Here is a 22,307-nt window from a genome sequence, read left to right as displayed (position 1 = left end):
TGACAAGACACCACTTCATGGGGACACAGCTCAGCTGGAGCAGAGGTGGGCTCACTGGCAGCTGTGCTAGCAAAGCCCAAGAACAGCCTGCGGAGGGGGTGGGGGACCGCGGGGCTGTGGCTCTTACCCATAAAACGGCAGCTCGTGGCACTTGAGGAGATAGGCGCGGTAGTGGGTGCCCAGGGCGGCCTCGCACCCGCCGTCGCTGCTGACCTCCTGCACCTGGCGGTAGGCGTTCAGCAGGCCCTGCTCGCCCGGCCCGGCCCTGGCCCCACGGCCCCGGAGGGCAGCAAAGAGACTCTGGCCCCGCTTACAGAGGTGGGCAGGGAGGAAGGAGTCCAGCTTCTCCCTGTGGAGGAAGGAAGACAGGTGCTAGCGGCCCAACCAGAGGTGCCAGGCTCACGGGGGAGGGCGAGGGAAGCAAGGCTGCCTGGAGGAAGCAGACACACATCTACTTCCAAGTCAGAGGCTGGGTAAGGAGCCCACAAGGGGAGACCCAGGCACCAGACAGAGGGGGTTCAGTTCTCGGCCCCCCTCCGAAGGGCAGACTCCAGGGCCAGCCTGTCTGCTTCTGCCGAGAGCAGCTGTACAGCTGGTGAGAGGCACCTCCTGTCCTGCGCCTGCTTCCTTTGCAGAGTGGGGATGGTGACACCCCCACCTGTCCCAGGTGAGCTCCCCCGGCCCTAAAACTTGACAAGCTCTCCAGGTGCAGGCCAAGGATTGTGATGGGGCTCCCTATGAGGCCCACCTGGGGCTGTCCCTCTGCCCGTCTGACCCGGGGTCACCGTCTGAAGCCAAAGGCTCATCCTGCGGCTCCAGATGCCTGCATCTCCATCCAGGAACAGGAACCCGGGCCCCACCTTCCTGCACTTCCCACCAGTCCTGCCTGAGCCGGCAGCCTCTGCACTGCAGCCCCATGTGCACCAAGGGCCCCCATGGGGCCTGGTCCTGTCACCCAACCCTTCCTGCCTCCTGCCTGGTTGGTTACCACGTGTCCACCCAGGAAACTCATAGGAGCCGAAGGGAAAGACACGAGGAGTCACCAGGCCCCTCTTCACCCCCAGAAGGGAAGGAACCCACCACCCTGAGCACCCGCAGTGTGCCCGGCACTGCAGAGGTCCCTGACCCCCACCTGCGAGGGCACACAGACACACAGGGCAGCCAGGCGAGTGAAGGAGGCCCAGGAGATGGGCCCAGGTCTGCAGCTCACAGCAGAGGTGAGAGGCTGAGGGAAGGTCTGGAGGCCGAACAAAGAGCCCCCACCTGCCTAGAATCAGACTGCAGCAGGAGGGTTTCAGAGCAACATCTGTGTCACCAAGTCAGGAACGTTGGGATTTCTGAACTGGTGGAACTTTTATAACCAAAACTGGTGCAGGGGTTTTAATGCTCTCAATGCTTTGTTCTGCCAGATAAAAACGTGAAAACGCCAACCTACAACTAGCACAGGCTCACAAAAGAAAGGGCATCTCCCCCGCCCCACATGAAGGAGGAGAGGCCCTGGCATACCCACAGTTGGTTCCCCGCCTCAGGCAGCGGGTACTCTGTGGGCTGTGGACCGGCCATCAGATAAGCTGCAGTTGGAGCGCTCAGTCCTTTTTTTTCTTTTTTGAGACGGAGTTTCGCTCTTGTTGCCCAGGCTAGAGTGCAATGGCTTGATCTCGGCTCACTGCAACCTCCATCTGCCAAGTTCAAGCAATTCTCCTGCCTCAGCCTCCCGAGTAGCTGGGATTACAGGCATGCACCACCTTGCCCAGATAATTTTGTATTTTTAGTAGAGACGGGGTTTCTCCACGTTGAGGCTGGTCTTGAACTCCTGACCTCAGGTGATCTGCCCGCCTCGGCCTCCCAAAGTGTTGGGATTACAGGCGTGAGCCACCGCACCCGGCATTTTTTTTTTTTTTAAGACAGAGTCTCACTCTGTCACCCAGACTGGAGTGCAGTGACATGCCCTTGGCTCACTGCAACCTCCACCTCCCAGGTTCAAGTGATTCTCCTGCCTCAGCCTCCCAAACGGCTGGGATTACAGGTGTGTGCCACCACACCTGGCTACTTATTGTGTTTTTAGTAGAGATGGGGTTTCACCATGTTGGCCAGGCTGGTCTCATACTCCTGACCTTAAGCGATTTGCCTGCCTTGACCTCCCAAAGTGTTGGGATTACAGGCCTGGGCCACCGCGTCCGGCCCCTTCACTGGAATTATTTCTAAACCTCGGGATAATCCTCCATGGAGACCAGAGACCGGCCTGGGCTTTGGCAGGGCAGACTCAATCCTCGCCACCCAAGGCCCTGCTAATTTACACAGCAGAGAACTCGGCTCCTGGAGAGGGCTGGGAGGTGGACAGCCAGCTTGCCGACCGCCTGGGGAACACCCCAGAAGTCTGGAACTAAGCTGGCCTGTTACTGGTGACAAAGGGTCAGTATCTGGGTGGTCCCTGGCTGTGACTCCAAAAGCCCAGCTCCTCTGACCCTGGCCGGCAGGAGGCAGGGCTCCAGATTCTTCTCCCAGACTTCACTTCACCTGAGGCTCCAGCCCAGGACAGGTGAGGAAAAGGAGGCTGAGGGGCGGAACAACTGCCTAGGGCCAGAGTGAGCCTGCGGGGCTGAGGCCTCCTGACTCCAGGACCCTGCCCCCACCTTGCGAGACTGAAGACTGCTTGTAAGTTCCATTCCAAGGACAAACTCCCCCACCCAGCGCCCCCGCCTCAAGTCACACAGGCCCTCACCTCAGGTCGCAGGCTGCCGGCCGGCCGGGCTGGTAGGGCCCAAGCTGCACGCGGCACACCAGGGCGCCCAGAGCCTCGCAGTCCTCCACGTCGCACGGGTACCGTGCAGCCAGCACGTTGCCCTTGGCCTCCTCATAGAGCAGCCGCAGGACCTCCTCGTCATGGATCTGCAGGGGGGTGTGGCAGGGACAGCCGCTCAGCTGGGCTGGGGCAGGGAGAGCTGCTCAGTTGGGCTGGGGCAAGGTGCGAATGTCCAGGGGTCTAGGGACAGGGAGGCTGGGCACAAGGGGCCAGGCCTGGTGGGGCCACCAGGGCTCCTGCCTCACCTGGAGCTCCCGCCGCTTTGGGAAGAACACGTTCCTTCGGAACTGCAGGAAAGGCTCATCTGGGGAGAGAGGCTGGGTCACTGCCGGGCATCCCCACTCTGCTTAGCCCTCCCCTCTCCCGATTGGCCCAGGCCCTGGCCACCAACCTCACCCACCAGGGCTGAGAAAACCGGAGGGCCGTGCAGAGGGTGGAGTGTGCAGCTCATCCCAACGTGCCCCGGTGGCTCCCAGCCCATCCCCCAATGGGGCTTCACTCAGGGACCCCTTCCTCCCCTGCCAGGGGTGGCTGACGGAGCCTGGGGGAGATGCAGGCCCTGCCCCTCAGCCAGGGCAGCTCCTTGCTGGCAGGGCCCTGGCTGGGCTGGGAGCCAGAGATGCAGACTCAGGTGGTCCCGAGGCAAGGACAGACAGGCAGCAGCACTGACCCATGGCCACGTCATCGTCTGGGGCACTGGTGAAGCGCAGCAGCAGCTCCGGCCACTGGCGTCCCAGCTTGTAGGGCTGGTGCTTGGGTTTCAGCTGCACCTCTGCAGGACGAGATGGGGAGTGGCCCATGCAGCCTCCGGCCAGTCCAGTGGCTGCCCTTCCACCTATCACACCGCACAGCATGACGACAGTCGCAACCAATAGTAACTGAGCAGGTGCCAAGGGTCCAGAGCCATTTACTCTGCAATAACCCTATCCCCCATTTCACCCATAGAGCAAATGAGCCTCAGAGAGGCCAAGTTCCTTGTCCACAGTCACACAGCAAGCGACGGGGGTCTGGCTCCAGGCAGAGCCAGCCACTAAGTGTTCACTGCAGCCCCACGGCAAGCTGAAACTGGAGACTGGCCAATGGAAGGTGCTGGGGCACAAAGGAACCCTCAGTGCCATCAGGAAGCAGAACTGGAAATTGACAACTGGGGCCCAGAGGCCCAAGGGGCTGCCTTGCCCCCCCACTGGCAGAGCCTGGGCCTCCCCGTCATCACTGCCCACCTCTGACACCTCTGAGGAGCTCCAGCTGACCTTCCATCCTGCAAGCTCTGCACCTCCGTGGCCCACACGCAACCCAGCTCCTGCCTGGCCCTCCCACCTTATCTCCTCTCTCACTGCCTCTCCCACTCTGCTCCTGCCACCTTGGCCTTCTTAAATCTCCTTAAATCATCCCCAGCTTGCTTGTGCCAGGGCCTCTGCGCTTGATGTTCTTCTTTTCCTGGACTCCTTTGCCCCAGATCCTCCCGTGGCTGGCTGATTCAGGTCTAAGTTCAAGGGCCACCTTCCCTGGACCCCTAATTAAGGCAGCCCCTCCTCAAAATTTTCCATCACCCCAATGGTGCCACATCTGTTTGCCTTCACAGGCTGATCACTACCTGACATTCCTCGCTGCTGCCACCCACAGGGGCTGCAGAATTGTCCACCGCCGTATCCCTGGGGCACAGTGACCTCGCCAGGGGTTGGCAGAATGACCAAGTGCAGCAGTCCAGCCCCTCAAACTCCAGGCTGCCCCATGCCACCACTGCTCTGGACCCAGGACTCAATGCCTCAGGCCAGGAGGGACAAAGCCTTTCAGCTCACACACCAGCACCCACCAAAAAACAGTGGCCACCGGGTTCTCTGCCTTTGAGAGGTGTGAGGCCACTTCCAAGTTCATCCAGAGATGTATGGGGATGTCCGTCACCGGGGTGCAGGAGCCAGCGCTTGCTCCAAGCTTCCCGAGCGCTGCCTGATCCACATCTCCCTGCTCTACCCTTAGGCAGTCCCCACTGATGGCCAATCGCCCCTCCTGCTGGCCTGAGGCCAGGGGTCCTTGTCTCTGCTCTTTGGGCCATCTGGGCCTTCCACCTGGAAGAGCAGCCACAGCTCCACACGGGCCCCCTTGCCCACAGCCCTTCCACCCACCCCTGCATCCAGCCTCTGCAGCCCTTTCTCGTCCCAACATTTCTGGTCCAGATTTCCCAGAGGCCCCACAGCCCTCCTTTACAACCTAGACCCTGGGCCCCACCCATCTGTCACCACCTCCAGTAGGGAAACACCATTTACCCCCAATAGTTGCCTCCCCACTCCCTCCAGAAAGGGCTCCATTAACTCCCCTCACTTGGCCACTGAGCCCCTCATGGGGTCCTCATGCTCTCTCTGTCTGGGAACTCAAAGGGCTGGAGGACATGGAGATCACCCACTTTACAGCAGGGAAACTGAAGCTGGGGAAGGCACAGTGCCTGAGGCCACATGGGGCTACTGGCTAAACCAGGAACAGAGCTCTGCTTCCTAAACCCCCCTTTACCATCCTTTAGGCTCTAAAATTCCAATGGTGGCCGGGCGTGATGGTTCATGTCTGTAATCCCAGCACTTTGGGAGGCTGAGGCGGGTGGATCACTTGAGGTCAGAAGTTCGAGACCAGCCTGCTCAACGTGGGAAAACCCCGTCTCTACTAAAAATACAAAAATTAGCCAGGCGTGGTGTCGCTTGCTTGTAATCCCAGCTACTCGGGAGGCTGAGGCAGAAGAATCGCTTGAACCCAGGAGGCGGAGGTTGCAGTGAGCTGGGATTGCACCACTGCACTCCAACCTGGGCAACAGAGTGAGACTCTGTCTCAAAAAAAAAATAAATAAATAAAATTAAGTTAAATTAAGTTCCACCAGGGTCTTCCCTCCTGTATTCCCAGCATCTAGAATACCACGTGGCCTGAGAGAGGCTTTGCACGTCCTTGTGGAACAAGCACAGTAACTGACAAGATGGGGCCTAGGGACACCCTGGAGACAAGGATGTCCTTCCTGCTGCCTACAGCCCAGCCCTGACCAGCCTTAACCCCAAGCCCCAGCAGCTCAAAAGACTCCTTCCTGTCTTCAGAACTCCCGCAGTCCCAGACACTTCCAGATGGGGCCTTCCTGCCTGGAGGCTGCTATCCAAATGGGACGGAAGGGCCCTGGAGCCCTGTTCCACGCAGAGTGACAACGACATTGAGAAGGCTAAGCCCTGCCAAAACATCCGGCATGAAGGGCAGCTCCAGAAGACAGCGCCCCTCCCTGCCCTTGCAGGGCACTCACGGCCCTGGGGCATCTGTCACCGGTTCACCCCATCAGGGGTGCAGGGGCCGGGGGAAAAGGGTTCTGGGGGGGCCCAAGTCACAGCTGAAGTGGCTTTTCAGCCTCCCTGAACCCAGCCTGGGAACAGAGTGGGTGCTGACTTTGTGCCGGGGTCTTCTGCCACCATCCTCCTGTGTGGGCCGGGCAACAAAGCAGCCCATTCACGGCCTCCGGCCGTGGGAGAGCCGGAATGTGGTGAGGAGGGAGTGGAGACGGAGGAGGTGAGAGGAGGAGGCAGGCTGCCCAGCAGGCTCTGGGAGCTTCCCGAGGTAAGGCAGGGGCCAACCCATGCAGAACTGTACCCCCAGCTTTCAGACACAAACCAAGGGGCCCACAGTCCTGACTCGAGGCCCGGAGGTGAAAGAGAGGTGACCAGGCTGGGCATGAGGTGGCCGAGGAGCCGGGGCAGCAGGAAGAGGGTGGGCGGGCACCTCCCAGCAGCAGCTGAGCAGGAAGCTCCTACTGGCAGGGGGGAGGGGGTGGAGAGAAGGATGAGGGTGGGGAGCAGGGGTGCCAAATGTTCCCTCTCCCCCAACCAGCAGCCTCAGGAGAAGACATAACTGCTGGGGGCCCCTTGGACCTAAACCAGGCTGTCCTACGCACTCCCTCAATGGGACTGGTCACCCTCTTCTTGCCTGCATTCCTCTATAACGAAGGGAATGTGTAAGCTAAGAAAACTCGCCCGGCCTATGGCACCGATTTACTAAACAACATGGGGCAGCCTCTCCCTTGGCCCCCTCCTGTGCGAACCAGCAGGCTCAGAGACCCTGTTCACTGAGGGACCCTGGGCTGAGTGTCTAGAGAGCCACCGCCCTTAAGTCCCTCCATCTTGCAATTTCAGCTTGAAAGGGCAGGATGTGGGTGGTCACGAGGCCAGCCAGGCAGGGCTGGAGGCTGAAGACCCCCCTCCCAGAGAAGTCAAGTCTCTACTCTTCCCACCCTCACTAAGAGCCTCAGGGTCAGAGGGGCCTACTTCCTGAGCCATGTCCCTTCTCCTCCCTGTCCCCAAGGAACAGGAACAGTTCAAAGAGGCCGACCGGGAAGCCACTCAGGCCTGGGTCTGTCTTGCTCCTGCCACACAGTGGTCTCGCCACCCTAACTACAACTTCCATCTGCAAGACTGGCCTAGGCCTGAGGACAAGGTGAAATCATGGTTCCCAAACACCACCCAGGTTGTGGCAAAGGTTATGCTCGGCAGACAAGGCCCCCTTCCTCCCTCCCTCCTGCGGTACTGTTCCTGGACCACCCAGTCCCAGCACGACCTGGGGGGCAGGCGTGTCCACTCCTCCACCACCAGCAGAAAGACAGACAGCAGGGCCAGGAGCGGGGGCCTTCTCAGGGCTCTAGGTGCTCAGACAGGTGGACAGCTCAGGATAAACCCAAGTCCCACCTTTCCCCATGGGCAGTGGCCAGCGGCTCCCCAGCGGCTCCAAACACTGCCCCCTCCCTCCTGTACTGGTCAGTGCCCTTCCAACCCTCCAGCCTGGGCTCCTCACTGCCAAGCCTTACCCAGCAGAGGGGAGACCAGCCAGAGCGCGAAGACATCCAGGGCGATGTCTGGAAGCTGCAGGACCTCGCGGACAGCGCGGTGCAGCTCATGGGCACTGAGCGAGGGCAGGTTCTCCACAGCCAGGGGCACCACCGTGTCATCCGCTAGGTATACCAGCACGTCAGCCGCTGTGATGGAGACCAGGCAGGCTCAGCTGAGGCCTCTGCCTGGCACAGCCAGGCCAGGCCAACCAGGCACCCTCTACCACCCACTGGGGCTGGAGCCCCCACCCTACACCCCTCAGGGGTGACCAGGGCTACGCTCCTGAGACAGAGTCCTCGCCAGAGGCAGAGCCCCAGCAGCCCCAAAAGACCCTATCACGAATGCTATCTATTAGTGCTTCCTTGACACCCTTAAACCACCCAGAAACCCAGTAACTCCTGCCCAGAGACCAGCCCCACCGCAATCCCCCAAGATTCAAATTAAGCCTGGCCATTGCAAACCTGCCCCTCACCACCATAGCTGCCCCAAGGATTCAACTGTTCTTCTGCCCTGAACAAGAACATGCCACAGATGTGAAACTACAGCACAGAGAGGCTGAAACCACAGCATAGAGAGGCTGAAACCATCCTGAGGCTATGGCAGTTAGTCTGGCTGGCTGGCAGGAGCGAGAGCTGGTAACCCGCTGCTGTCCTTAGGCAAGTCTCTCTCTGACTGAGGCTAAGATGCGAAGAGATAATTCTTTAGGTCACCCAGGTTAAAGCAAGTTCCAGGTCTCAGCTTCCTTGGGACTCTTTAAGTCTGAGGACTCTTTAAGCCTCAGGAGTCAATACGAAGCAGGCTAGGGAAGAACAGCCCAAATAGCTGAGAGTTCCCTTGTGACAACTTGTGGGTTCCAGAGCCAAATGGAGACACCTGGAAGAGCAACCAGATTCAAATCCCCATCCCTGAGACTGCAGGCATGGTGAAGGAACACTGGAGTTTGGGGCCGACATACTCGGGTTCCCATCCTTGCCTGGTCGCTGGCCAACTTCAGGGAGTCAATTTAAGTTGTCAGTTGCCTCATCTGTAAAAGTAGAGCTAATACTCCTCCCTCCAAGAGTGTGTGGAAGGGAAGGGCACGGTTTCTCATCTACACAAGAGAAGGTGCTCCTCGGACCCCCAGTCTGTTATGCTCCAGCAGCTACTCTCAGAGATCACAAAATCACTTCGAGGAGGCTCAGGTTCAGATCTACTTCTCAGGCAAGAACTGAGGCACCAGAAGCTGCAGTATGTAATCACCTGGAGAGCTTCCACAGCCTGCCTGGGACTTAACCTCCCTAGGGCCCAGTTTCCTCCCTATCAAATGAAGATCATGATATGATCCCTGTTTTTTTTTTTTTTTGAGACGGAGTTTCACCCTCGTTGCCCAGGCTGGAGTGCAATGGTGCGAGCTCAGCTCACCGCAACCTCCGCCTCTCAGGTTCAAGTCATTCTCCTGCCTCAGCCTCCTGAGTAGCTGGGATTACAGGCATGTGCCACCACGCCCAGCTAATTTGCATTTTTAGTAGAGACAGGGGTTTCTCCATGTTGGTCAGGCTGCTCTTGGAATTCTCAACTTCAAGTGATCCACCCGCCTCGGCCTCCCAAAGTGCTGGGATTACAGGTGTGAGCTACTACGCCCAGCCTGATCCCTGCTTTCAAAAGGCTGTTTGGGAGAAAGAAAGGACACAGCCGGGTGTGGTGGCTCACGCCTGTAATCCCAGCACTTTGAGAGGCTGAGGCAGGCAGATCACGAGGTCAGGAGATCGAGACCATCCTGGCTAACACGATGAAACCCCGTCTCTACTAAAAATGCAAAAAATTAGCCAGGCGTGGTGGCGGGCGCCTGTAGTCCTAGCTACTCGGGAGGCTGAGGCAGGAGAATGGCGTGAACCCCGAAGGCGGGGCTTGCAGTGAGCTGAGATCGCACCACTGCACTCCAGCCTGGGCGACAGAGGGAGACTCTGTCAAAGAAAGAAAGAAAGGAAAGAAAGAAAAAAAGAAATGACACAAAGAAAGTGAACGTGTCACTTTCTTTTTTGTCTATGTTGCCCAGGCTGGTCTCGAACTCCTGGGCACATGTGGTCTGCCCACCTTGGCCTCCCAAAGTTCTGGGATTACAAGCATGAACCACATCAGCCTTCACTTTTCATTCATATAATCTCATTTGAATTTCACAGCTATGTTAAACAAGCTCATTTTACAAATGAGAGCGAGGACCCAACCTGGCCAGTAAACTAGTGACAGAGCCTCTGACTTCTGTGAGTTTTCCACATCTGAATGTACCTTATTATTTCTTAGTCGATACATAAATTATCTTTAATGAAAAAGAAGACAAGCCAGAGCTACTTCTCCAGGGCTGGGGTCCCAGGAGGGTGTGGAAGAGGAGATGCGGGTGGGACCCACCTCGGGCTCCCACGGAGGACACGCTGCTTCGGTGGGATCGCTCAGCGGGGCCGGGCTGCCCGGCACTGCCTTCTGTCCCGTCCATCTGCAAAGGCAAAGAGAAACAGCAGTTACCGGGAGCCAGGGATGGGGGGCTGGAGGTCTCCTCAAGCTCTCGGTGAGTACGGTAAGGGATCCCAGGCTGGGTCCGCAAGGTTGAGCGGCGCTGCCTGGAGGGGCCAAGAGTGCAGACCGGGCGCTGGTGGGAGGGGTGCGGGTTGCTACGGTCAAGAACCGGGGGTCGACCTGGATGCCCAGGCAGGGCAAGGCGCACGCCCAGCCGGGGACGGAGGCCCGGGCCAGACGTCGCTGTGCTCTCACCTCGCAGGGTCGCAGAGCCCGCCACCTGAGAGGCAAGGCTCCTGCCTGGAATCCTGCCCCGCCGCCAAGCCCGCCACCGCCCGCACTCGGGCTCCCGCTAAGGACGCAGCTGACCGGGAAGCGACGCGGAAGCCACGGCGGGAGGAAGCGCGGCGCCCGAGGCCCCGCCCCCTTCGACCCGGGGGAGCCAATGGGAGCCCAGGGCCGCCCCGCGCGGCCCGCGCATGCCCGGACGCCAGCCTCGCGTGTCTCATCACGCCCGTGGGGTGGCCGCGTCACGTACCAGCCCCGCCACCACCAGAGTGACCCAGAGCGAGTTTCCCTTCACAAAGGCCCCGACTGTTGGCCTGTAAGAGGGTTTGGCGAAGATTCGAGAATCAGGCTAGGGGCGTTGGCCTGCCCACGCTGGGTCTTCGGGCTAGTTCCCTGCCTGTGAAATGGACACTTCCTGGCACGTGCCAGGGATCCATGCGGCGCTGGCAGCGGCCTGTACCGTGGCGCTCTCGGCAGTGGTCAGGAGAATGAGTCCTGGCCCAGACTCATCCTGGACAAGTCCCTTCTCCTCTGGGCCTCAGTTTTCCTCATCTGTAAAATGAGGTGGTTGAACTGAATGACCCCCAAGGACTATCCCTACTCTCTAAATGATTATTAATATATGTCTATGTCGGCCGGGCGCGGTGGCTCACGCCTGTAATCCCAGCACTTTGGGAGGCCGAGGCGGGCGGATCACGAGGTCAGGAGATCCAGACCATCCTGGCTAACACGATGAAACCCCGTCTCTACTAAAAATACAAAAAATTAGCCGGGCGAGGTGGCGGGCGCCTGTAGTCCCAGCTACGCGGGAAGGCTGAGGCAGGAGAATGGTGTGAACCCCAGGGGGCGGAGCCTGCAGTGAGCCGAGATCACACCACTGCACTCTAGCCTGGGCGACGGCGAGACTCCGTCTGAAAAAAAAAAAAAATTTATATATATATGTCTAAATCAGAAAACCAGGACAGACACTCTGTTTTTCCAGGGAGCAGTGACATGAGCCCTTACTATCTTACACAACAGCCTGGGAGACCTTGAGGTTTTCCCAGGCTGGGAGGAGACTTGGGGCCCCAAAGAGGCAGGTGTGAAACCACCTACCCTCAGGGCCATGTCACTGACATGTCCTGGTAATGCAACATGTGTGCATCTGAGATGTGGAACTCAGGGAGAAAAATAAGTCCATGGGGCACCTTCTGGGGCCAGAGGAACCAGAAGTTGTCCCAAGTGACAGCAGTGGGCTTGGTGATCAGGAACAGAGGGCAGTGGGTTCACTTTGCCCTGGTTCCCTGGGATTGGAAAGCAGCTCTAGCTCCTGACCCAGTCCAGCCTTCTTTGGTATGTGAACCAGCTCTGCCTGCCCTCCTATGATCCACACTGCCCCACAGCTGAGCCCATGACATCACATTTGCCTTGCCAATGTGACTTAAGGACTTGAGGAAGCTCAGATGTGGGCTGCAGGGAAGGGTGTCCAGTGGGGGCAGGCATCTCCTTCCTGGTTCTCAGCTCTGGGACCCTCAGACCAGGACACACTGTATCTCCATGGCCTCTTGACCCAGCTGGAGTGAAGCAGGAGCAGAAGAGTTCAGTGTTGTTTTGAATGCTTACTGGATGCGGGGCTTGTGCTAGGTCAGGGGATGGAGACTGAGGGGAGACGTGGCCCTGCCCTCAGAAAGTGTCTGTTGTGGTTTAATTGGTGAGTTAAGGAAGAGGGGAAAGAGAAAGAAGCCCAGGAGAACAGCACATTTAAAACCACAGCACTTTGGGAGGCCGAGGCAGGAGGATCGCCTGAGGCCAGGAGTTCAAGACCAGCCTGGGGAACATAGTGAGACGCCATCTGTAAAAAACCCAAAAATTAGCCAGGTGTGGTGGCACACATCTGTGGTCCTAGCCATTCAGGAGCCTGAGGTGGGAGGATCGCTGGAGCCCAGGAGTGTGAGCTCACAGTGAGCTCTGATAGCGCCATCCTGCCACTGTATTCCAGCCTGGACAACAGTGAGACTCTGTCTCCAAAAAAATAAATAAAACCACAGAAGATGACAGCATTGCCTTAAGAACTATGAAATGCTACAGGCAGGAAAAGTCTCTGCTCACTTGCTGTGTGTGGGGCACTGGGCCAGGCCCTTTCCCCTGTTTCCTGTGTCATTCTCATGCGTCCTGAGAGTGGAAATAAGTATTAGCAGTTGCCATTTACGTGCCAGCCACTTTTTAAAGTGCTTTAATCCTTAGAACTCACTAAGAGGTGAGTATCACATCTCTGTTTTATGTCAAAGACTGACACCTGGGAGTGTCTGCGGTGGTGGTGGGGAGGCTAGAACCCGGGTCTAGTCAAGGAGGGGCACTGGGAGAGAGTCCGGGAGGCTGATGGTGGGGAAGGAAAGGCATTCCAGGTAGTGGGAACTGCACGAGCATGGTTAGGACCCCAGGAAAGACCCCCGCTGTGTGAGAGCATAGCAGGTGGGTGGCACCATGGGGGAGGCCTTGAACCCCAGGATGACAGATATGGGGCAGGCGTGTTAGACAGTAAGAACATTTTGGAGGTTGTGAGCTAGAGATTCACAAGATGACGCCATGCTTAGGTGGGCTTCCCTTCAGCAAGGCTGTAGGGAAGTGGGAATGAGGGTCTTTCTCAAACTGGGGTGAGGCGGTGAGATTGGAAAAGAGAATGAGACCCATTCTGAAGTGAGGGAGGAGGCGGCCTCCAGCCTTTAGAGCTGAGAGGCTTAGACATCAATTAGCCCGACTGCTGTCCTACTTTGGCAAACAATAATAGACCCCAAGGCCCACAGAAGAGGTTGCTCAACATCACTGAGAGAGATAATGTAACCGCCCATTGGGTTCACCTTACCCTCTGCCTAGACAGAGCCAATTTGTCAAGACAGGGGAATTGCAATAAGGAGAGTTTAATTCATGCAGAGCTGGCTGTACGAGAGACAGGAGGGTTTTTTTTTTGTTTGTTTGTTTGTTTTTTTTTTTTGAGACGGAGTCTCGCTCTGTTGCCCAGGCTGGAGTATAGTGGCATGATCTTGGCTCACTGCAACAGCTGCCTCTCGGGTTCAAGCGATTCTCCTGCCTCAGCATCCCAAGTAGCTGGGACTACAGGCGCCCGTCATCACACCCGGCTAATTTTTGTATTTTTGGTAGAGATGGGGTTTCACTATGTTGGTCAGGCTGGTCTCGAACTCCTGACCTCAGGTGGTCCTTCCGCCTCGGCCTCCCAAAGTGCTGGGATTACAGGCGTGAGCCACTGCGCCTGGCCTGTATCAGTTATAGTTTTTGCAAAGGCAGTTTCAGGAATAAGAAGCAGAACCAGGACTGCAGCCCAAGCCACCACGAGAGGCCAGTCTTTGGGGATGGTCTTTTAGGATGATCTTTGGGGGTGGCCCAAGGAGCCCCAGGCAGCTCCAGAGGCAGGAGGTAGGAGGTCCTGTTTCCCGAATCTGTCCACCCGGGAGAAAGCAGCAGGGGTGGGTGGGTTCTGCCTTGGCCACAGTGAGAGGAGAAGGGAGAGAAGGACTGGGCCTTGGGCGTCCCCCATGGGAGACTAGGAGCTGCGGGGAGATCTGGAGGGGAGGGTGCAGGTGTCACTGGGCCTTGATGTTTCCCAGGGCCGTTTGGTGATGGGAAGAGGGAACTGGAGCCCCAGGCTGCCGCTGATGCTGCTGGCTGACATTTCCGTTCATTCAGTCACTCAGGATTTATTGAGAGCCCACCCTGTGCCACCCGCTGTGCACAGAACACCCAGAGATCCCTGTCCAGACAGACAAGTTCTTCCCATCGTATGTTGGCGTGATAACTGTGATGGAGAAAGAGAGGAAGAGCCAGCAGTGCCTCCGGCTGGGGAGGCGGGGCAGACCTCACCCAGGTGGTGACATTTGAGCCCCAGCTGGAGGGGTGCCAGGGCAAGAGTGCCCAGGAAGAGGGAAGAGCCAGTCCACAGGCCTGGAGACAGAAGGCTGACTGAAGAAGAGTCTGGAGGCTCGGGTGGCTGCAGCAGAGAAAGCAAGGGGGTGGGTGGCAGGACGTGAGGTCAGAGGAGAATGGGCGGCACCCTGTGGCTCACAGATCCTTGAAAGGGTTTTGGTTTTGACTGAGCAGAATGGTGCCATTGCAGATCAACACGCACTTTAAATAATCAAAACCCCTATCTTTCCCCTGGGAAGGAGGAAGCCGAGGAAGGCTGTGTTTCTGACTCACACGGGGGAGTCGGGGGAGTCGTAAACAACCCTGAAGAGAACAGCCAGGCCTGGTGAGTCACTCCTGGGAGTGGCTCCTCCCCACCCTGCCACGCAGCGGCAAATGCGGGCTGGGCCTACCCCCTGGTGGCCACGCTACCTCCGCACCCGGCCTCTCTCTGTGGCATGGGGGCGGCCATGCCCCTTGGTGGAGATGAATGGGAGTGGAGCTGGGCTGGCTGGGCAGGCAGGGGCTTGCCTCTTGCTGACTAAGGCAGCCCTGGAGGGGCCCGACCATGGGGCAGGAACCCAGTTGCCATCCTCAGAGCGAGGATCATTGGCCGGGCTCGGGGATCAGGGCCTCTGTGGTCCCGGCACGCCTGGCCCGTGAGACTGTACTCTGCACGACTCCTCCAGGTGGCCAGGGTCACCGGAACTGGCTCGCTCTCCTCTGCCAGTTGCCGGAGGTCTGGGCACCAGGCCAATTCTCACCTTCCCGCCAGGGTTAAACATTAGTGGGAGGTTATCAGCGTGGGCCAGGGGAGGGAGAGGGGGGAATTCAACTCTGTCTCCTCTGCTGGAGCCACCAGTTCCCGCAAGCCCAGACAATGCCGGTGGAGGAATTTGTGGCTGGCTGGATCTCTGGTGAGACATTTTTCTTCCTTCTGTCACATCACACCCAATGGTAGGTCACTTCCTCGGGAAGATGGGTGACATGGGAGGAGCAGAGACCAAAGTCTGAGTTCCGGCCTGGCGGGAGGATCACTTGAGCCCAGGAGTTTGAGACCAGTCTGGGCAACATAGGGAGGCCCCTGTCTCTACAAAAAAATCAAAATAATTAGCTGGGCATGGTGGCTCACACCTGTAGTCCCAGCTACTTAGGAGGATTGCTTGAGCTCAGGAGTTCAAGGCTGCAGTGAGCTATGACTGCACCACTGCACTCCAGCCTGGGTGACAGAATGAGACCCTGCCACAAAAAAAAAAAAAAAAAAAAAAAAAGAATCAGGGCATGGTGGCTCACACCTGTAATCCCAGCACTTTGCGAGGCTGAGGTAGGAGGATCACTTGGGGCCAGGAGTTTGAGACCAGCCTGGGCAACATAGGAAGACCCTGTCTTTATAAGAAATGAGAGGCTGGGCGCGGTGGCTCATGCCTGTAAGCCCAGCACTTTGGGAGGCTGAGGTAGGTGGATCATGAGGTCAAGATTTCGAGACCAGGCTGGCCAACATGGTGAAACCCCGTCTCTACTAAAAATACAAAAATTAGCCAGGCGCGGTGGCGCACGCCTGTGGTCCCAACTACTCCAGAGGCTGAGGTGGAAGGAGCCCTTAAGCTCAGGAGGTTGAAGCTGCAATGAGCCATGATCATGCCACTGCACTCCAGCCTGGACAACACCAGCAAGACCCTGTGTCAAAAAAAAAAAGTCTGGGTTCCGTGGAGCACCCCAGAGCCAGCTGTCCCCAGTCCTCTGGGGAGTGGCCGATGGGAAGAAGAGAGGAAGGCACAGGTGGGAGGGTGCTGCCTCTGCCTTCCAAGGCCACTCTGCCTGACACCTGCAGAGGGCGGGAGAGCCAGGTGAGCACCCTATACCTTGAGCCCTGCTCTCCAGGCCCACCCTGTTGGGCTTACAAAGGAAGTTCACCTTTGACCTCACCTGCTGTCCTGAGTCCCCTCTGGGCCTCTGCCCCACCTGGCTGTGGGCCGCAGTCCCGGGCCCTGAGGCCTGTTGTGCTGTGGTCCCAGCCCAGCTTCTGGGTGGCATTCCTCTTAGGAGAAAGAGAGGGACGTTCTGAACCTGCCTCCTGGGGGTGCGACCTCCCCCAAACTCCAGAACCAGCCTCTGCTGTGGAGGGCAGGGCTAGGCAGTGGGCAGGTGGAGGGGAGGGGAGAAGCTCCTCTGCAGGTGCCCAGGCATGACCCCCATCAGGGCCCTGCAGTTCTGCGTGGCCAGCTGGCAGCAGGGCCTGCTCTGGATCCCGGCGACGACATTATGAGTTGAAGAAAGAAGAGTAAAGCTCTCGGAGAGGTGGGAACCTGGGTGATTCTCCCAGAGTCCCGCGGCTCATAGGCGGTGGGATACCCGGGTATGGGCTCCAGCGAGGACACGTACGTCTTTGGCTGGCTCTTCCCTCTTGGGTGTGCATCCTCAGGTGGGGCCTGGGGTCTTAGTCCCTTGTCCCAGTGCCTTCCTGGCCCAGTGCCTGTGTGGAGGGGGTGGCAGGGGCAGCTGGAGTCTCTAGAGCTTGGCAGGAAGGTGGCTGCATGTGTCTGAGATGGCCCTGCTCTCCTTCCTCCTGCCTGAACCCCTCTTTCCTCTTGGCACAGACTTGCTTCCTGGGCCTGGCACGAGGGCCCTCACTCATAGCACCCTCTTGTCACCACAGGCGCTCTGGGCTTGGTCCTGGGACACCCGTTTGACACTGTAAAGGTGAGTTTAGGAGAGCTGCCAGAGGAATGAAAGATCTCACCTGACCCAAATGTCAGGGTGCCCTGAGATCAGGCCTGGCTAATCTTGCCTTTCCTGCCTCTCCTGCTGGTTGGCATCCCGCTTGAGGGGGCAGAGGGAAAGGTTGGCCCACCTGCCCATCCCGCCACCCTACCTGCTCTGTCCTCCCACCCAGGTGAGGCTGCAGACCCAGACCACCTACCGGGGCATCGTTGATTGCATGGTCAAGATTTACCGCCATGAGTCCGTGAGTGGCCCACTCCTTTGGGGTCCTTCCCCTTTCGGGGAGGCATCTGGGGCTGTTGGTACCAGCTTCCCTCTCCAGCAGGGTTCTGCTCCTGGAGGAGAGAAGACCAAGTCTGGGATCCTTGGGGGGCCTGGGTGGTAGCTTAGCACCCCAGAGGCGCAGCCTCAGCCCATCCCTGCCTGTCCCCACTTCCCTGTGGCAGGACTTGGGAGCAGTTTCCAGCCAGAGGCTGCCTTGCCAGGGGTGGAGAGGACAAAGGGGAGGCCCCACGGTGCCTACTCCGCTGCCACTGTGTCTCTCTGCAGCTCCTGGGCTTCTTCAAGGGAATGAGCTTCCCCATTGCCAGCATAGCTGTGGTCAACTCTGTCCTGTTTGGGGTCTATAGCAACACCCTGCTGGTGCTCACGGCCACCTCCCACCAGGAGCGGCGGGCCCAGCCGCCCAGCTACATGCACATCTTCCTAGCGGGCTGCACCGGGGGGTTCCTGCAGGTGAGGGGGCAGTGAGTGGGCACACACAGGTGTCATAGGGATGGTCATCTCGATCTGTCCTCTCCCACCCTGCCCTGGCGACCCACAGCTGTGGAGGCATAGGCCTCTTGGAGGGGAACAAGAGGCCTGTGCTATGGCCTTCCAGGCTGCAGGCCTCTGGGGGAGGGCTGTGGGGAACAGAGGGGGCAAAAGGCAGAGACAGCTGGTGGGCAGTGCCAAGAGGGTGCTGGGAGAAGCAGCCTGGGCCACTCGCTCCAGCTGACGGGGCTTGCCCCCCTCCAGAGGGGTCTGCCAGCCTCAGAGCTGTGGGGAGCCCACTCCCCAAGGAGACCTTTGACCCTGGAGAACCACCAGCACCCCGCAGAGCTGTGAGCCCAGCCCCTCTGGCCGGGTCCTGATGAGGTCCTGACACTCCCCTGGCCCTGCCTGGCTCTACACTTTGCCTGCAGTGCTTGGGTGCCCATGACCTGGGAGCCTCACCTGAGGCCCAGCCCAGCAGGGCATTAACCATTCAGGCACTGCCGTCATCTGGGCTTTGGGCTTTAGAGGGGTGGATGGAGGGAAGAGGGACCAGCTGCCGCCAGTGGGAACCGGTGCTGAATGGGTCCTGTGAGCATAAGCAGGGAGAGGGTGCGCCCGGCACCCACTGACACCCCAGCCGCAAGCCAGGGTCGCCCTCTCCTGGGCAGCTGCCCCCAGTTCCTTGTCACACTTCATGGGGCAGAGAGCAAGGACAAAGGACAAAGTCAGGCTGCTCCTTCAAATGAATTAATGATTAATGAGACCCCCGGAGGCCCCGGCTTTTCTTCTGCCCCTTCTTGTGCGAGGTGCCACCTATAGGTTTCCTGAGCCCCGCGAGCCACATCCCACAAACACAAGGAAGAGAACCGAAGCCCTAAGCTAAGTGGCCAGGCCCGGCTTCTAAGTCACCCTGCCCCCCCAGCTCTTTGGAAAGCAGAAGTGGGGACTGTGAGGGCCGCTGATGGAGCCTGGGTTTACAGTGAAACCTGTGGCTTTAGTTTAACAGAGTCTTAAAGGAAAAATGTGTTTTAGTGTGGAGTGGGAAGAAGAGGCAGGGACTGACAGCCTCTGACGGGCACAGACGTTGCCCTGGTCTTCGCCGAAGCTGACCTTCTGAAATGGCATCTGACACTCCACCACCCCTGTGGGGGTGTCTGTCACCTGGTGTCAGCCTAGCCCTGTCCTCAGCCCCCAGGAGCTCAGGGCTCAGAACACCTCCTGAAGCCCTGAGCTCAGCCCTGCCAGCACGCTCTAGAGGGTGGCACAAGGCCCCATCTCCCAAGGGATGGTACCTAACCTACGACCCTTACTCCTGGGACCAAAGTAAACAAGCGAAGACTTGGCCTGCCACACCCTAAGTACCACCACCCACCACCAGAGGCGACCGCCAGCCCCCGTCGCCATCAGCCATCTCCAGGGCTGAGGAACTGAGCCCATGTACCTGTCACAAAACAAACAAGCAAAAAACAGATAAATCCCTCAGAGACAGGCTAGCCTTGACATGGACCCCGATTCTCACCTGGACTCCAAAAGCTATCTTGACCTACTGGCATCTCTGACCCAAATCTTAATTGCCCCCATCGCCCTCTACATCCCCCCAGCACTGACCCTCACCAGGACTCCAGCCCCAATTCCATCCCAAATCTGTGTAGCATCTGCTTCTGCCGATTCTAAGAGCCCTAGCACCTGCCAAGTCCCCCCATTACCCACCTTCCCACACTCAGAAGCCTCTTTGGTGGGATGCTAATGGGAAGGAGTCTTGCCTCTCTGGAGGCAGGAGGGGCTGGCCTTGTGCCCCTCCGGGCCTCTGAGAGGTGGGCGCAGGAGAACAGCACTCACGAGGGGACCTCCTTCACCCTGGGAAAGGGTGGTTTCTTTGCTATTTCACAGTCACAGGCTGAATCCTTCACTTGGCCCTGCCCACCGTACAGGTATGCTCACTGCCGGCTTTAGGGAGGCCAGAAACCAACCTGCTCCTGCAAAAAGAATCCAGGCTTGTTCTGAGTGCCTGCTGTAGGCCAGGCAAGTTGGTCACTGTTGCATGAGGGGCAGTGCCTCTCACTCTTGGGCCTGATGCCAAGGGAGGTGGCCTGTCCCGGTCGCATGCAGACATCCTGGCCATCCCAGCCACACATGCACGTGAGAGGCTGGGTGCCGGCAGGGTTCCTGAGGGACTGGAAGATGTGGCCCCCTGCCTGCCTCCTTCCTCTTGTGAATATAAGGGGCCAGTTCCCAGCCCAAAGCCCCACCCGGGGCCCTCATGTTTCATCACCAACAGGCCTACTGTCTGGCTCCTTTTGACCTCATCAAAGTCCGGCTACAAAACCAGACAGAGCCAAGGGCCCAGCCAGGGAGCCCCCCACCCCGGTACCAGGGGCCCGTGCACTGTGCAGCCTCCATCTTCCGGGAGGAGGGGCCCCGGGGGCTGTTCCGAGGAGCCTGGGCCCTGACGCTGAGGGACACCCCCACGGTGGGGATCTACTTCATCACCTATGAAGGGCTCTGTCGCCAGTACACACCAGAAGGCCAGAATCCCAGTAAGTAAAGTGGCGTGAGAGGATGGGGGACAGAGGTGTGGGTAGCAGGCAGGGTCCAGCGGGGACTGGGGAAGGAAACTAGGGTCTGGGGAGGATGCTCTGTTCTGGGTCTGACCCCTGCTCTGGGCTCTCTCTGCCCCAGGCTCAGCCACGGTGCTGGTGGCAGGGGGCTTTGCAGGCATTGCTTCCTGGGTGGCAGCCACGCCCTTAGACATGATCAAGTCCCGGATGCAGATGGATGGACTGAGACGCAGAGTGTACCAGGGGATGCTGGACTGCATGGTGAGCAGCATCCGGCAGGAAGGACTGGGAGTCTTCTTCCGGGGGGTCACCATCAACAGTGCCCGCGCCTTTCCCGTCAATGCTGTCACCTTCCTCAGCTACGAATATCTCCTCCGCTGGTGGGGATGAGCCCTGCGGCAATGCCAGCAGCTCCCCATCAGGCCCACGGCCTGGAGGCCAGTTTGAGATTGGAGGCCAGGTTGAAAGCTTGCAAATCAGTGCAAGAGGCTCAGCCCTTCCTAACCAAGGTGCCTCCCACCCGCGCAGATCTGGGCTGGGCAGACACCTGTGGGAGCCGGAAGCCAGGGGGCCTGTGCAGCCTCCCTGTGTAGCTGGCCTTGACTCCTTTGCCTCCCACATCTGTGAAACAGGGAGCATGAGGCACAAGTGAGCTGGCAAGTGGTGCTGGTGACATCCCAGCTCCTGTCCTGTGCCTTCACCTCTTTTTTTTTTTTTTTTTTTTTTTGAGATGGAGTCTTTCTCTGTCACCCAGGCTGGAATGCAGTGGCGTGATCTCGGCTCACTGCAACCTCCGCCTTTCCACCTTCCGGGTTCAAGCAACTCTCCTGCCTCAGCCTCCCAAGTAGCTGGGACTATAGGCGCCCGCCACCACACCCAGCTAAATTTTTGTATTTTTAGTAGAGACAGGGTTTCACCATGTCAGCCAGGATGGTCTTGATCTCCTGACTTTGTGATCCGCCCGCGTCGGCCTCTCAAAGTGCTGGGATTACAGGCGTGAGCCACCGCGCCCGGCTGCCTTCACCTCTTAAGGAGCTCTGAGACTCCACTTCTGAGAGTCCCTGCGGCCTCCCACCTCCCTGCCTTTCAAAGCTCTCTCCCCCATGACCCAGGATAACCCTATGTCTCCTCCCCCAGAATCCTTCAGTGGCTCTCATCACCTTCAGGAAAAGCCCAAACTCCTTCCACCCTCCAGGTTCCTCCCTCCCCACGAGGCTTTGTTCTCCTGGGGTTGCTTCCTGGACCCTGAACAAGTTGTGCTCTCATTGGCCGGGCCTGGCCAGCAGTGCACAGTGCCTGGCAGGTTGACTCTACCATCCCCGGGGCTGGCCCCGCTCTCCTCCGAGACCCAGGCTGAGCCCAGTCCCCTCACCCTTCCTTGACTTACCTCCCCACCTGAGGCTGACTTTGGGGTTCCCAGACACCCTACCCACACACATGCCTTGATCATAGCACTTGCCTGCGCTTCTTCAGAGTCATTAATTTGCTTCTCGGCTTCCCCACTGGACTGTGAGCTGCCTGAGGTCAGGGATTGCGCTTTGGATGGTTTCCAGCCTGAGCCTGGTGCTTGAACAGACGTGTGCAATAAATGCTCGTTAAATGATGCGACTGCACTCCTGACCTGTCTCTTCACGCCAGCTGCCACACCTGCTTCCCTGGTCTTGCCACACAGCTTTCTGTTGAACCTCCCAGCCCCCATTTTCCTGCTCTGACCCTTCTCGAGGTCACCTGCAGTGGAGGATGCTGGGAGCTGGGGGTCTGTCTGCTTTGCCCACTCCCAGCCAATGGTGCTTGTTTTCTTTTTCTTTTTCTCTATTTTTTCTTTTATTAGATACAGAGTCTCACTCTGTTGCCCAGGCTGGAGTGCAGTGGTGCCATTATAGCTCACTGTGGCCTTGAACTCCTGGACTCAAGTGATCTTCCCACCCTAGTCTTCTGAGTAGCTGGGACTACAGG

At 58.5% G+C, this 22,307-nt stretch overlaps 2 protein-coding genes across 16 annotated transcripts in view, besides 18 other annotated features; one reads left to right on the top strand and one right to left on the bottom strand.

Moving 5' to 3' along the window:
- Positions 1-22,307, bottom strand: part of FRMD8 (FERM domain containing 8) — a 45,500-nt gene that overhangs the window by 16,378 nt on the left and 6,815 nt on the right. Inside the window, exons 2-8 of one of the 5 annotated variants that reach the window (XM_047427684.1) lie at positions 17,237-17,372; positions 10,027-10,111; positions 7,620-7,787; positions 3,474-3,575; positions 3,049-3,107; positions 2,723-2,889; positions 128-349 (exon numbers count right to left, since the gene is read on the bottom strand). In XM_047427684.1, coding sequence (XP_047283640.1) covers positions 128-349; positions 2,723-2,889; positions 3,049-3,107; positions 3,474-3,575; positions 7,620-7,787; positions 10,027-10,111; positions 17,237-17,275 — 842 coding nt within the window. In that variant the 5' untranslated portion in view covers positions 17,276-17,372. Of the gene's footprint in view, positions 1-127; positions 350-2,722; positions 2,890-3,048; positions 3,108-3,473; positions 3,576-7,619; positions 7,788-10,026; positions 10,112-10,386; positions 10,512-17,236; positions 17,373-21,810; positions 21,896-22,307 lie in introns of those variants that run through there. The other 4 variants (XM_047427683.1, NM_031904.5, NM_001300833.3 and 1 more) reach the window with 4 other exon arrangements.
- Positions 4,010-4,596: an enhancer, noted in NCBI's record as "H3K4me1 hESC enhancer chr11:65160023-65160609 (GRCh37/hg19 assembly coordinates)". NCBI's record gives its function as "activates a minimal SCP1, AML or CMV promoter by ChIP-STARR-seq in primed H9 embryonic stem cells {active_cell/tissue: H9 hESC(primed)}" and the evidence as "EXISTENCE:reporter gene assay evidence [ECO:0000049][PMID:30033119]".
- Positions 7,533-8,167: an enhancer, noted in NCBI's record as "H3K4me1 hESC enhancer chr11:65156452-65157086 (GRCh37/hg19 assembly coordinates)". NCBI's record gives its function as "activates a minimal SCP1, AML or CMV promoter by ChIP-STARR-seq in naive H9 embryonic stem cells {active_cell/tissue: H9 hESC(naive)}" and the evidence as "EXISTENCE:reporter gene assay evidence [ECO:0000049][PMID:30033119]".
- Positions 10,125-10,704: a silencer, noted in NCBI's record as "silent region_3522". NCBI's record gives its function as "represses an Ori minimal core promoter by ATAC-STARR-seq in GM12878 lymphoblastoid cells {active_cell/tissue: GM12878}" and the evidence as "EXISTENCE:reporter gene assay evidence [ECO:0000049][PMID:35858748]".
- Positions 10,125-10,795: a biological region, named in NCBI's record as "H3K27ac-H3K4me1 hESC enhancer GRCh37_chr11:65153824-65154412".
- Positions 10,207-10,795: an enhancer, noted in NCBI's record as "H3K27ac-H3K4me1 hESC enhancer chr11:65153824-65154412 (GRCh37/hg19 assembly coordinates)". NCBI's record gives its function as "activates a minimal SCP1, AML or CMV promoter by ChIP-STARR-seq in naive and primed H9 embryonic stem cells {active_cell/tissue: H9 hESC(naive and primed)}" and the evidence as "EXISTENCE:reporter gene assay evidence [ECO:0000049][PMID:30033119]".
- Positions 13,076-13,370: a silencer, noted in NCBI's record as "tiled region #10780; HepG2 Repressive DNase matched - State 8:EnhW, and K562 Repressive non-DNase unmatched - State 7:EnhWF". NCBI's record gives its function as "represses a minimal TATA promoter and a strong SV40 promoter by Sharpr-MPRA in HepG2 and K562 cells {active_cell/tissue: HepG2 | K562}" and the evidence as "EXISTENCE:reporter gene assay evidence [ECO:0000049][PMID:27701403]".
- Positions 13,076-13,808: a biological region, named in NCBI's record as "Sharpr-MPRA regulatory region 10780".
- Positions 13,282-13,808: an enhancer, noted in NCBI's record as "H3K4me1 hESC enhancer chr11:65150811-65151337 (GRCh37/hg19 assembly coordinates)". NCBI's record gives its function as "activates a minimal SCP1, AML or CMV promoter by ChIP-STARR-seq in primed H9 embryonic stem cells {active_cell/tissue: H9 hESC(primed)}" and the evidence as "EXISTENCE:reporter gene assay evidence [ECO:0000049][PMID:30033119]".
- On the top strand, positions 13,447-21,956 carry SLC25A45 (solute carrier family 25 member 45). Of its 11 annotated transcripts, NM_001278251.3 has the most exons (10): positions 13,447-13,830; positions 14,101-14,423; positions 14,577-14,662; positions 15,179-15,273; positions 16,516-16,614; positions 16,914-17,016; positions 17,210-17,281; positions 17,587-17,772; positions 20,072-20,330; positions 20,473-21,956. In NM_001278251.3, exons 7-10 carry the CDS (start codon positions 17,255-17,257, stop codon positions 20,739-20,741), a joined length of 741 nt encoding a protein of 246 aa, NP_001265180.3. In that variant the 5' UTR covers positions 13,447-13,830; positions 14,101-14,423; positions 14,577-14,662; positions 15,179-15,273; positions 16,516-16,614; positions 16,914-17,016; positions 17,210-17,254; the 3' UTR covers positions 20,742-21,956. The 11 variants fall into 11 exon arrangements, 9 of the variants coding, with proteins under 9 accessions (NP_001265180.3, NP_872362.4, NP_001339311.2 ...); NR_147972.2 differs by lacking the exons at positions 13,447-13,830; positions 14,101-14,423 and adding an exon at positions 19,725-19,815 and having other exon boundaries at positions 14,502-14,662; positions 16,526-16,614; positions 16,973-17,016; NR_147973.2 differs by lacking the exons at positions 13,447-13,830; positions 14,101-14,423; positions 16,516-16,614 and adding an exon at positions 19,725-19,815 and having other exon boundaries at positions 14,502-14,662; positions 16,973-17,016.
- Positions 14,000-15,199: an enhancer, noted in NCBI's record as "P300/CBP strongly-dependent group 1 enhancer chr11:65149420-65150619 (GRCh37/hg19 assembly coordinates)". NCBI's record gives its function as "activates an origin of replication core promoter dependent on BRD2, BRD4, P300/CBP, MED14 and CDK7 cofactors, with strong dependence on P300/CBP, by STARR-seq in HCT116 cells {active_cell/tissue: HCT116}" and the evidence as "EXISTENCE:reporter gene assay evidence [ECO:0000049][PMID:35650434]".
- Positions 14,000-15,393: a biological region, named in NCBI's record as "P300/CBP strongly-dependent group 1 enhancer GRCh37_chr11:65149420-65150619".
- Positions 14,137-14,336: an enhancer, noted in NCBI's record as "active region_4957". NCBI's record gives its function as "activates an Ori minimal core promoter by ATAC-STARR-seq in GM12878 lymphoblastoid cells {active_cell/tissue: GM12878}" and the evidence as "EXISTENCE:reporter gene assay evidence [ECO:0000049][PMID:35858748]".
- Positions 14,337-14,864: an enhancer, noted in NCBI's record as "H3K27ac-H3K4me1 hESC enhancer chr11:65149755-65150282 (GRCh37/hg19 assembly coordinates)". NCBI's record gives its function as "activates a minimal SCP1, AML or CMV promoter by ChIP-STARR-seq in naive and primed H9 embryonic stem cells {active_cell/tissue: H9 hESC(naive and primed)}" and the evidence as "EXISTENCE:reporter gene assay evidence [ECO:0000049][PMID:30033119]".
- Positions 14,347-14,656: an enhancer, noted in NCBI's record as "active region_4956". NCBI's record gives its function as "activates an Ori minimal core promoter by ATAC-STARR-seq in GM12878 lymphoblastoid cells {active_cell/tissue: GM12878}" and the evidence as "EXISTENCE:reporter gene assay evidence [ECO:0000049][PMID:35858748]".
- Positions 14,556-14,850: an enhancer, noted in NCBI's record as "tiled region #983; HepG2 Activating DNase unmatched - State 1:Tss, and K562 Activating non-DNase unmatched - State 1:Tss". NCBI's record gives its function as "activates a minimal TATA promoter and a strong SV40 promoter by Sharpr-MPRA in HepG2 and K562 cells {active_cell/tissue: HepG2 | K562}" and the evidence as "EXISTENCE:reporter gene assay evidence [ECO:0000049][PMID:27701403]".
- Positions 14,777-15,056: an enhancer, noted in NCBI's record as "active region_4955". NCBI's record gives its function as "activates an Ori minimal core promoter by ATAC-STARR-seq in GM12878 lymphoblastoid cells {active_cell/tissue: GM12878}" and the evidence as "EXISTENCE:reporter gene assay evidence [ECO:0000049][PMID:35858748]".
- Positions 14,865-15,393: an enhancer, noted in NCBI's record as "H3K27ac-H3K4me1 hESC enhancer chr11:65149226-65149754 (GRCh37/hg19 assembly coordinates)". NCBI's record gives its function as "activates a minimal SCP1, AML or CMV promoter by ChIP-STARR-seq in primed H9 embryonic stem cells {active_cell/tissue: H9 hESC(primed)}" and the evidence as "EXISTENCE:reporter gene assay evidence [ECO:0000049][PMID:30033119]".
- Positions 15,187-15,316: an enhancer, noted in NCBI's record as "active region_4954". NCBI's record gives its function as "activates an Ori minimal core promoter by ATAC-STARR-seq in GM12878 lymphoblastoid cells {active_cell/tissue: GM12878}" and the evidence as "EXISTENCE:reporter gene assay evidence [ECO:0000049][PMID:35858748]".
- Positions 20,023-20,523: an enhancer, noted in NCBI's record as "H3K4me1 hESC enhancer chr11:65144096-65144596 (GRCh37/hg19 assembly coordinates)". NCBI's record gives its function as "activates a minimal SCP1, AML or CMV promoter by ChIP-STARR-seq in naive and primed H9 embryonic stem cells {active_cell/tissue: H9 hESC(naive and primed)}" and the evidence as "EXISTENCE:reporter gene assay evidence [ECO:0000049][PMID:30033119]".

This window comes from Homo sapiens, chromosome 11 (genome assembly GCF_000001405.40).
Source record: "Homo sapiens chromosome 11, GRCh38.p14 Primary Assembly".
Taxonomy (NCBI): Eukaryota; Metazoa; Chordata; class Mammalia; order Primates; family Hominidae; genus Homo; species Homo sapiens.
The sequence above is the reverse complement of the archived record's forward strand: the minus strand, read 5'-3'. Positions and strand labels throughout refer to the sequence as shown.